General features: G+C 50.8%; 1 protein-coding gene across 6 annotated transcripts in view, besides 1 other annotated feature; it reads right to left on the bottom strand.

Moving 5' to 3' along the window:
* GLI2 (GLI family zinc finger 2) overlaps positions 1–12,146 on the bottom strand; it is a 256,786-nt gene that overhangs the window by 154,692 nt on the left and 89,948 nt on the right. The window lies entirely within an intron of this gene.
* Positions 4,051–5,043: an enhancer, noted in NCBI's record as "H3K4me1 hESC enhancer chr2:121590494-121591486 (GRCh37/hg19 assembly coordinates)". NCBI's record gives its function as "activates a minimal SCP1, AML or CMV promoter by ChIP-STARR-seq in primed H9 embryonic stem cells {active_cell/tissue: H9 hESC(primed)}" and the evidence as "EXISTENCE:reporter gene assay evidence [ECO:0000049][PMID:30033119]".

The following is a 12,146-nucleotide window of genomic DNA, read 5'->3' as shown; positions in this document are numbered from 1 at the left end:
AGAGCCAAGACCATTTGAAAGAGGAACACATGAGGGGATTTTCCCTGCCATGCTTAACAGAAAGCTGTAAGACCTAAGACAATGTGAGATGGCACCAGAAGAAACTAATAGACCAAAGGAACAAAGTAGGGAGCCCGGAAACAGAGCTACATATGCAAGGAAAATTGACATGTGACAGTTTTTGCATTTAAAAAAATCATTAAAAATTAAGAAATAGAATAATTGCTACTGAGACGATTATTCACATAGATAAAGTAAAACAAATTTGATCTCTACATAATGTCAAAGACAAAACAGTCTCAGCTAAATTTAAAAGCTACATGTAAATGCACAATTTTTTAAATTTTAGAATAGGAGAATAGCCGTATGACCTCAAGGACAGAAAGAACCTCCTAAAATACAAACACAAGCCACAGAGGAAAAGAATCATACACTCGACTGTGTTAAAATGTACAACCGTTGTCTCAATAAACCATGCCATACCCAAAGATAATGGCCAACAGAAGACTGAGAAATTATTTATAACATGTCTAAACAAGATTAAGACTTTTTTTTTTTTTTTTTTTTTGAGATGGAGTCTCGCTCTGTTGCCCAGGCTGGAGTGCAGTGGTGTGATCTTGGCTCACTGCAAGCTCCGCCTCCTGGGTTCACGCCATTCTCCTGCCTCAGCCTCCCGAGTAGCTGGGACTACAGGCGCCCGCCACCACACCCGGCTAGTTTTCTGTATTTTTAGTAGAGACAGGGTTTCACCGTGTTAGCCAGGATGGTCTCGATCTCCTGACCTCGTGATCCGCCCGCCTCGGCCTCCCAAAGTGCTGGGATTACAGGCGTGAGCCACCGCGCCCGGCCTAAGATTAAGATTTTTAAGATTAGTATCTCTTAAAAGTACTTTCAGGAAAACACAGCAACCCAGTAAAAAGCTCAGCAAAGGAGATGGATAGGCAAATCAGGGAGAAGCAGCCCAAACGTCCAATACGTTGCAAAAGAGCAGAATGCAAATGAAACTAAGATCATTCACTATTAGACTGGAAAAAATTCCAGTCTAATATTGTCAACCATTTCATGAAAAGTGAGGCTGAAGAAACTGTGCAGCCACTTTGGAGAGCAATTTGGCAATATCTAACAAAGCTACAAGTGTGTACACCCAACAGCCCAGCACATCTACCCTTCCACTGGGCTTGGGCTTCTAAATGAGCAGTGTGATACAGAGAAAGAAACACACGTTGTGTTGCAATGTGCTCCAGGTGTCCATGCACACACACAGGCACACACACATAAATAAAACAGTCTGACAAAACTTTAATACTTGCAATGTATTGTGATATTTTCTATTGCATCTTTTTAAATGCTGTTTCCCATGAAATTGATTTTATAAACCCCTGCTGTGAAGAAAGTTCTCCCACAGGGACACAGGGGGAGGTGTGCCACCCATGGCAACAATGTCTGCAACAATAAAAAAGTGTAAATAATGTAAATTACCTCAACAGGCGAGGAGAGAAATCGGCTGTGGAATATTCATTTATTGTGGCGTCTACGGAGCTTTCAATGAGCAAATCAGAGCTTCAGGTAACGACATGAATACATCTCAAAAACATAATCTTGTGCACAGAAAAAAATATACACATATACACACACATAATAAGATAACATCTTAATCAACTTTTGAAACCCACCCTGTATGGGCATTTACATATAAAGTAAAAACGGGGAAATATGCCAGAGGGATGACAAACACAACATTCTCTGGTCTGACGCTACTCCTGGGGGGCAGGAGATAGAAGAGGGTGATGGAATCAAGGAAGAGCAATAGATAGGGGTTCAAATCAGGGTTTAACAGCCCAGATGGGGGGGCCATGGGATCAGACTACCCCAGTCAGGGCTGTGTCATCACTGACATAGGTTAAAATTGCCAGGACATAGTAATAACATATAGTAAACTGTTAGCCAGTTTGATTATTGCTTTTGAATTCTCTATAAACAATGCACACTCCCTAATGTCTGCATCCAGGGCAGAACATCCCCCACCTTGACATGCTGCAGACTAAAAATGGCAAAAAAAAGTTAAGCTGCATGGAGGTACATGTATTTGTTACATCTCTTTGGTGTGGTTAAAATATTAAATATTTAAATATATATGTATACACACACACACATACACACACACAAACGCACACACACATCTCTTTCTGTGCATATGTGTGTTCTCCAAAGACCAGACATGCCAAGGTAAGATACTTCCAGAGCAAAGTTACATGTAAGGTCAAAACAGATAGTCTGGGCCGATGCGGTGGCTCACACCTGTAATCTCAGCACTTTGGGAAGCTGAGGTGGGCGGATCACCTGAGGTCAGGAGTCGGAGACTAGCCTGGTCAACATGGTGAAACCCCATCTTTTCTAAAAATACAAACATTAGCCAGGTGTGGTGGCGGGCGCCTATAATCCTAGCTACTCAGGAGGCTGAGGCGGGAGAATCTCCGGAACCCAGGAGACGGGGGTTGCACTGAGCCGAAATCATGCCACTGCACTCCAGCCTGGGTGACAGAGCGAGACTCTGTCTCCAAAAAAAAAAAAAAAAAGTCTGGTGCCTGTGACTGGCTGGGGCCTGGGAGGACTGACGCCTCACCTGAGCAACAACGGGAGCCAATCTTCCCTAAGGCTGCATCTGATCAACTCCCACCAAAGCCTGGTATTGGTTGTGCTCAGCTCCTGGGCAGCTCTGTGGGGCACTGCCTAAGCTTCTTTTCCTGCTTCAGCTTCTTTGTCTATCAAATGAGTACAGCAATGCCACTAAAAGACCATTGGCTCCACCCATACCACCCCCAAATCCTGGTCTTCACTGTTTGATGATCACTTTCCTTCCCTCAGAGAGATTGTCTTTTTTTCAGTTTGGTGTGTTTGTCAAAAACCAGTCAATTTATCAAAATAGTAATGTTTGCTCCAAAAATGATAAGGCTGCCTGGTCACAACTCCACCCAAATGTCGCACACAAACAGTGGAAAACGAGCTGAAGAGTGAGGACCCATGTGGGTTTAGCCCAGAGAACATGGGGTGCAGAGCCCCTGAAATGCCACATGAGGAGTGCACCAGAAGGTCCTTACACACGACCTCTCAGCCTTGAAACCAGAACAACACCAGGATCATGCCTTGTGCATAACCCCCCACAGAAAGTTAGTGATGACTTGGATGACACGGTAGCCATCACTGCAGGGGGACACAGGCATCTGAAACCAGGTGCAAAAGAAATCCAGGAAAAGGTCTGTGAACAAAGGGGTCTGCAAGAACCCAGACCCCATCTCACAGCTCCTGATGATTGGTATTAACTCTACTTTCTTGTTTTCTGTGTTTCTAATGTTCTCACATCTGGGGCTTCGATGACTGAGGGAAGGCAGCCCCTCCCAAGGCTGGCTGAGTGACAGCAAAGCACTCACCCAGGAGTGAGCCTTTTTGTGTGCAAACCAACTGATCCAGAGTCCATACTCCAAACCATCTCCCCTACCTGGCTCTACACTCTGGGAGGCCACATGCCTCTGCCCTAACACCCCAGGGCCAGGTCTCAGACAAAGAGCGATGGCCCCTATGGCCCAGAGACTGCTAGAATCATTCAAACCGGCCAACCCTAAGCTTCTGGCCCTGCCTTGCCAGCCCTTCCACAAAAACCAATGAAGCCTCCTTCCCATGCTCTCCCCTGGATGCCTCACTGACTGACCCTGATGCTTCCCCAAGTAGTCCTGTATGGTGTGGGGTGTCCTCCCACTGGGAAGTGTGAATAACAAATCATCTTTTCAATGGCAACTCTCCCCTGCTCTACTGGCCTCACCATACCTGAATCATGCTAAAACCTGCATTTGAAAACATTTTTGTACATTGTGCAGAGGATGCTGGGCAAGATGATGTGGCGGTTGGGGGCGGGGGACTGAGCACCCCCAGAGCTGTGCAGCAGCATCACAGGTTACTTTGAAGCCAGACTGAGAGTTAGGCCAGTGTGCTGTGAGCTCTGACTTCAGCTGAGCCAGACAAGCCAATGACAGACCCACTAGGTGTTACTTTGCAAGTTTAAGAACTGCACTAAGATGACTTTGAAGACTTGTGGATTGGTTTCCAACTGAATTTTAAAACTGGGTTTGTGGGTTCTACTGAAAACAAATCTTAAGTTCAAATGCTGAATGTCCCTAAATGGCCTCCATGTTTCCTGCCAGCTAGCAGGTTTGGGGAGCTAAAGGATGCTCCCAGCCCAGGAGTCTTGGCAGTCCTGTTGATGACCAGAAGCGTGGCAGGAGCTGACCTCGGTGGTGGGAGGTGGCTGTTGTGATGTCTGAACACCAAAGTCCATGGACAGTCAAAATCTCTGTGGGTAGCTGCACATTTGAGGGGTCTGCTCATCCAAGGTTGGGGGATGAGGCTTCCACTCATGACAGCCCTGCAAAGGCAGCCTGATTCTTTGGGTGCTCTAGATGGGGAAACAGGTCTCAGAGAGGTGCAGTGCCTTGCCCAGGGTCACACAGCCAGGGCACAGAGATGTGAGAGGCAGGCCCAGGCCTGTTGAGCTGGTTCCCAGAACTTGGTATAGATCCCATGTTCTGGACCCATTGCAGACCCTCACCTAGCTCAGGGAGGGAGCAGACTGCCCTCTGCAGGGGGAATGTTTCTGGGGTTACAGCCCTTAGGAACCCTCCCCAAATGCCAGGCCCCCAGCTATACTGCCTCTGGCCCTGAGAATCCGCAACAGGCAAACACCATCTCGTAGGCCCTGGAGGCCTTAGGCACAAGCCGAGGAAGAAAGAAAAGGAGCTAGGACAGGGAAAGGAAATGCAGGAGGGTGGACAGGAGAGAAAGGCAAAGGCGAGGAGAATAAAATGAAGGAGGCCTGGAGGTGGGCTGGGAGAGGAAGAGTCCCAGAGCAATCCAGGCTGGTAAGAGGCCATGGGCAGCCATGTCCCTGGGCTCCAGGCCCCAAGTTTCCATGTCTGACCTGGTCCCTGAGCACAACCTAGTACATCCCATCCTTCAGGCAGGAAGGTCCTTTCCAGCTATTCTTGGCCAGCACCCGGCTGAGGAAGGGTCTCAGAGAGGAAAGAGACCAGCAGAGCCCCTGAGCCACCTGCTGCTGCCCTGTGGAGGACCAGACCTTCCCCGGTCTGCTGCCACCTAACAGCCCACCCGTCCTCTTGAAGACTCCATGGCCTAAGGCTCAGGGAGTGACGTGACCTGCCCATCACACAGCCTGCAGGGAAAGAGCTACCTTCCAGCCCAGGTTTGTCTCTTCTCAAAGCAGAAAGTCACAGATTTTCTCATTGCCCGAACACACTCCAAAAGAGTCACAGCCAGCCTCACCCTGGGCAGAAGCAGCAGTCCCAAAGGGCCTGAGGTCTGCTCAGCCCTGGGCTGGGGGTGGGAGAGGGACATATTGTTCCCTTACAAGGGCCCGAGTGTGCCTAGAGGAGAAGCAAGCGAGGTTTAGAGTTCTCCGCCACACAGGGATGACTGACCAGTGCCCAGGCTCAGGCCGCATCAGGAAGGGACACAGCCTGGGCCTCAGCCCCAGGCCCTGCTGCCCGGGTCAGCCTGGTGCCACCCCGTGCCTCAGGCAGCCTCTGCAACCCTTCCTAGCACCTCCTTTCTTCTCTCTGCCATCTCTCTAAAATTCTGGGTCTGTGGGGTAGGGTGATGGGGTTCTGGGTACTTCATTTTCAAGTCATTGACCCCAGGTCTCCTGGGTATAAGCCCCAGCACTTGCCAGGGGCAGCCAGGGGGCAAATTCAAGACCGATGAGCTCTTAAGACACAGAGATGAAGTCCTCAGTGGCCGGGGCTCTGACTCCTTGTGGGACCAGATGGTGCACCCTGTGCCAGGTGGGCATGGACTGGGGCCCCAATCCACACTGATTCCTCTCCACCAAGCAAGTACCATGCTGTGTACCTGGTGTTTACTGCTGATTGAAAGAACAAACCAAGAACCACCCCGCCTTGTGGTGCCCCATATGGGAAGCGATGGGTGGGCAGCAGACGCAGTCCAGCGTAGGTAATCCCACTGGCACTCCAGCCCCTGAGACTAAGTGATAATCTTTGAGACAGCCCTGACACTAGTGCCATTGATTTCATCCTTACTCCACGCAGGTACTTTGTGAGCATGACCTCACTGAATCCTCACAACAACCCACAGACAAATGCAGAAACTGAGGCCTGGAGAGTTGGGTGAGTTGGTAAGAATCAGAGCTGGATTTAAAGCCACACTCCCAGCCACCAGACCAGGAGGCACCTCCCTTCCTACAGACTGGGACAATAACCTGCACCACCGGGGGCTGTGTGACAACCAGAGAGCACACCCAAAGCTCCCTTCACAGGCCCCAGAGCACTGATACTGCTCTCAAAACGGAATCTACTATTTTACTGACTATCCCCAACCATAATAAGGAATCAAGTACTCTGAGCCTGGCTTTTATTTTCCTGGGTGTGAGCTGTCCTGCTTGTGGCCTGTCACCCAGGAAAACACAGGTGCCCTCTGGCCTGACATCAGCATCCCAGTGGATGCTCCAGCTGCCCCTGGACAACCTGTCCCCACACTGTGAGCCCTGTAACCTCCAGGGAGGCCTGGTGCCCACAGCAGAGCACCCTGCACTGTGAGGGTTTTCTTTGGGAGGAGCACTTGCCAATTGCCAGGTTAGTACAATTATCAAGCGCTGGACTGAATGCACCAGAATAACCTCAAGTCTTTCCAAGATGCCTTTGGCAGAAGAAGGGCCAGGCATCGGGACAGGGCCAACCTCCCAGCTGGGAGCAACCTTGGTGTGCAGAGACAGACAAGGAAAGGGAACAGAAGGACAAACATGGAGAATGACACAGAAAGAGAGAGGATGACAGAAAGAGAGAGAGAGAATGACAGAAACAGAGAGAGAGACAGGCAGAGCTGAAACTGAGGACCAAATGAGGGAAAAAGAATGACAGGAAAACAAAGAGACCAAACAGGCAAAAAAAAAAAAAAGAGACAGAGAGAGATACGGAGGCAGAGTGAAACCAGGACACAGAGACAGAAGACACAGAGACACAGAGTGATCCAGGACAGGGACCAAGTGAGAGAAACAGAATGACAGAGAAGAGAGGGACAGACAAAGAAACAGTGAGAGAGACAGCAACAAAGTCAGAGAAGGACAGAGAGAACCAGAGAAAGGAGGCAGAGAGAGTCACCCAGAAAACAGAGGGAACATGGTGGGGACCAGGACGGGCAGGGAGTCTCACAGGTCCAGCCATGAGGTTCTGGGAAGGGCACTCCCCCAGCCACCTGCACATTCTCCAGAGGGCTCACACTCTCTGCCCTCCCCTGCCCTGCTGGAGCCCCAACAAACAGGCCCCGTCCCTGCTCTGCCCTGAGCTCAGGCAGCCCAAGAGGCTGCTGTTTGGGGAACACATTACCAGCATGTGCTGCCCTTCCCATGGATGGACGTGGGGCCTGGTGGGCATCCGTGTATGTCTGTGTGTGTCTGGGCCCACTTCTCCGTACACACCAGCAGAAGCATGAACAAAAACCCACACACACACAGGCTTGGCAAGCATGCTGCCCCAGCAGGGCCAACCTCCTCCTCTACTCACCCTGTGCCCTAGACTGAGGGCCCCCTATGTGCCAGGCACTATGCCCACAGGGCTAGGGCACAGTGAGACCCTCAGAGGGCAGAGGGAGCTAGGCCAAGGCCACTTAAACAAACAGGAGGGCAAGGAGGGGCTCAAGACACGACCCGGTGATGGCACTGCACGGTGCAGGTGGCTGCACCAGGAGCCCAGCCAGCACTCACCCCCTGGGATGGCAGGTACTCAGACGGAGGGGCAGAGCGGGCCCAGGGTCTTGTGGCCGGTTAGAAAGACCACCTCCACCAGACTCCCACTCACTCAGCAGCACACTCTGACTTCCAAGCCTGCTACACTTTTCACCCAAGGCGCTTCTGCTCAAAAGCCACCTCTTCTAAGGAAACTTTACACACACGTGCACATATATACACACACACACACGCAGGCACACCTGCCCTTAGCAAAACATGCGCCCCCTCCCCTCTGAATGCCTAGCACAGTGCTGACTCAAAGGGACCAGAACTTGCTTGCAGAACTTACATGAACTCAGCCCTGCACTTCCCTCTGAGTGCCCCCAGCCCTGAGAACTGGGGAAGGTGCCCCATGAAGGAATGGGTCCTGGCCAGGAAGCAGGATCTCAAGGCCCACATAGGCCCTCCTGCAGCCACCCTGGTGGACACAGTCCCCTTCTCCCAGGCCCGGGCCCACAGCTACAGCCAAGTCAGCACTTGGAGAACGGATGGGACACCAGCATTACGGATTGGTGATAATAATGACGATATCAGCCAACTCAGATGAGAACCTCCTGGGAAACAGCTGTTAGGCCCAGCCTTGGTTTATTCCTCAGATGTACCCTATGAGGTCAACTCTTCATTATCACCACCTAGAGATGGGAAGCTAAGGCTGGGGGAACTCCTTCTACTTGACGAATGTCACACAGCTGTTAAGTGGCTGGGCTGGGGCTCAGCCCTAGCACTGTCCAACTCCTGGGCCTGAGATCTTAATCATGACACTGCCTTTGAGCTAAGTCAGCCTCAGAAAGACATTAACCCTGGTCAGAAACTTAAGACACTCACAATGCGCCCACTCTGTAAATGATGTGGAAAGAGATCGTTTATGGAAGTACTAACATGCTCTGAGGCATACTGCCCCTGGGGCTCTGTGTCCCTGTGTATCTGTGACTGTGTGAGTGCAGGCGTGTGCATGCGAATGTGTGCATGTGTGTATAAGTGTATGAAGGGTGCGTGTGGGTGCTGGGTGTGCACGTGGTGATGGTGTGTGTGACAGTGAGTGCGTGCATGGGTGCAGGTGCGTGGCTGTCCCTGTGTGCATGCATGCGTACGTGTGTGACTGTGAGCATGTGGTGTGTGAGTATGAGTGACAGCATGTCATTTTGGGTGACAGAGTGTGTCAGTGTGCAGGAGCAAGTGCTGTGTGTTTCTTCCAAGAGCCCTGGGCCTAGCTTCAGCGTGGTGGGGCAAGGAGGACCTTTCAGAGAAATTGTGAGGAATAGTGGCTGTGGATGATCTTTTTTTTTTTTTTTTGGAGTTGGAAGTCACGGCCTCAGCAGAGAATCCATTTTAGTAACAAGAGAAATGGAATGACGTGGCAAATTATAGTGTCTGACCAAATAAATTATTCCTTTCATTTTACCGTTTTGTTTGGAGGAGAGCTTTAAACCTCATCCTCAAGCATATTCAGCAAGTGCTTACTGAGCGGATTTGGCTGTAATTAATACGAATTTAACTTTCTTTTCTTTCCCAAGGCACTGAACTGGAGGAGAAACGGGGCAGGGCAGATTCCTCCGGGCTGTGGGTTGGGTGAAGGTTTAATAGCTTCACAGACCTGTGCAAGCTGCAAGGGCAAAAGGGAGAGGAAAAATATAAAACCTTTAATTGCTACTTCCCAAAATAACCTCAGTCCGCCTGTAATAAGCTTATGCTGGATTTTGATTCTTTTCACAGAGGAGAAAAAAATCAGGTTTAAATTTCTAAAACCAACATATTTTCCACAGGTTCCACCCTCAGCGTCTGTCTGGGGTTGAGAGCTCGAATGTCCTCGGAGTCTCCGGGCAGGGGCTCAGACAAGAGGCTGGCCTCACAGGTGCTTTCTCTGGTGAGAGAGCGGGGAGAACTAACGAACGTTTCCTCAGAGAAGCCACCTGGCCCGGGGGCCTTGGCCCAGCAAGCTGCTCTCATGCATAAAGAGGGCACTGAACCAGGGGGTGACACACTGGTCATCGATGGTGGAGGAACCAGGAGGACCCAAGGTTCACGGAAGCTTTAGAAGTCCATGGGTGTTTAGACCTGCTCCTCAGGCTCTCTTCAATAATTTCATTTTCTAAACTTGCAGGAAAATATACAAAACATAAAATGTACCATTTCCATGCCTTTTAAGTGTACAATTCAGAGGCATTGAGTACATTCACGTTGTTCCGCAACCATCACGACCATCCATCTCCAGAGCTTTTTCATCTTCCCAAATTGAAATTCTGCACCCATTCAACATGAACTCCTCACTCCTTCCTCCCTCCGGCCCCTGGCAATCACAACTCTGCTTTCTGTCTCTACGATTCTGACGACTCTAGGGACCGCGTATAAGTGGAATAAAACAGTATATGTCCTTTTGTGACTGACTTATTTCACTTAGCATAACGTTCTCAAGGTTCATCTGTGCTGTGTCCGAATGTCCTTCCTTTTTAAGGCTGCATAACAGCCCTCTGTATCACGCACCACATTTTGTTTATTCATTCATCCATCAATGGACCCTTGGGTAGCTTCCACTTTTTGGCTATTGTGAATAAGGCTGCTATGAACATGGGTGTGCAAATATCTCTTCAGGACCCTACTTTCAACTTTTCTGAGTCTAAATCCAAAAGGAGAATTGCTGGATTGTAAGGTAATTCTGTTTCATTTTCCAAGGAACTCCCATACTGTCTTCCAAAGTGGCTGCACTATTTCACATTCCCACCAGCAGTGCACAAGGAGGCCAACTTCTCCACATCCTCACCAGCACCTGTTCTGTTTTCTGAGTGTTTTTCTTAATAGTAGCCATCCTATTCACACAGTATGGGTATGAATCCCCACTGACTCTTCATCACCCGCTCACAGGCAGAGGCACTACTTAGAGACGCCGGGCTCACCACTTAGCAAGAAGCATATCAGCAGACACTCGGGTTTGGCTGTGCCAACTCCGCTGTCCTGAAAGAAGACAGCCACGGGTCTGGGCAACATAGTCATATGTTTGTGTTTCTGGGCTGGCTCTGAGGGAAGCCTAGAGGTCCCTGAAGCACTCATCCGGTCACGGATTTAGTCAACAAACCACTGGCATGGGCAGTGCCAGGCCCTGTTCTAGGAGCTGGGGACACAGCAGTCCCTCATGGACCCATGGGAGTCACCACACAGTGAAAGCGAAATGGTGGGAGCCCCACTTGTCCCGGGAGCCGCCAGTGGTTATGCGTGGCTGGGGTGTGGGGAGATGTGGCAGGCTGGGAAGTCACTATGGAGAATGTGCCAGCATTTGAAGGGGAGACAGAGGAAGCGGGAGCCGGGCAGGTTGCCCAGGCGGATCTGAAACGGGCTCTGAGCTGTCACTGGGGACCGCAGGTACAGAGGGACTGAACTGCCTGCTTCTCAAATCATTCCCGAAAGGCCTGGGGTCAAGAGGCCATAGGCATTGGAATCCCATGGGCCTGGGTTCAAAGCCACTTCCCCAACCTGTGTGACGCAGAGTACATGCTCTCTGAAACTCAGGTCCCTAATCTGTAAAACGGCAATGCAGGGAATCCCATCTTTTGCCAAGATTAGACACGAAAGACCATACATGAGATAAAAATCTCCACCACTCCAAAGCACCTCTGCCCACCTCAAGCAAGGTCCCACACGGAGGGGACCCCACTTCCTCCAGAGTGCAGTCCAGCGGTCTCCTCTGTGTGGAGACGCACACTGCCTCCCAGATCGAACAGCAGCAGAGGGAGGGGGCTGGCTGGGTTCTGGGCCTGTGCATGAAAACTGTGTATATAAACATCAGAAGCTGAATAAAAACTCCAGCTCTGGAGCCTGCAGTACAGGAGGCACGAGTAAATGTAAACAGGACGGCAGACCCTCACGCCCAACCTGGCTCTGGCACATTCAGACTGGGACGAGGGCACTGCTTCAGCTGCATGCACTCAGCCCCTCTCTGTCTCAGCTTCTCCCCTCTCTCCCTCTCTCCTCCATGCTGAACTTGCTAAGTTGGGTGCATGCAGATGCATGCCAGCCACAGCTCCCTCCCACCCCACCCAGCCGGGTTGGAAGCCTCGCAGCTGTCTCTGGACAGAGCCTGGCCACGGCCCAACGCTCTGCTCTGTCATAACAAAGGCGGCCGTCACCAGGCAGCCTCCCATCGTGCCCAGCAGTAAGGGCCTGTGGTGTTCTCACCCAGCATCCTATCCCTCCCTGGGACACTGCTGGGCCACAGCTGGAGTGCAAAGCTCTGAGCAGCCAAGGCTTGTGCAAGGCCATCTGCGAACCAGCAGCCACAGGAAGGAGCGCTCCTGTGATCCCTGGCCAGATTATCCAAACATCTCCTGGCCTTGGGGCTTAGCCCTAG

This window comes from Homo sapiens, chromosome 2, assembly GCF_000001405.40.
Source record: "Homo sapiens chromosome 2, GRCh38.p14 Primary Assembly".
In the NCBI taxonomy this organism is placed as follows: domain Eukaryota; kingdom Metazoa; phylum Chordata; class Mammalia; order Primates; family Hominidae; genus Homo; species Homo sapiens.
The sequence above is the reverse complement of the archived record's forward strand: the minus strand, read 5'-3'. Positions and strand labels throughout refer to the sequence as shown.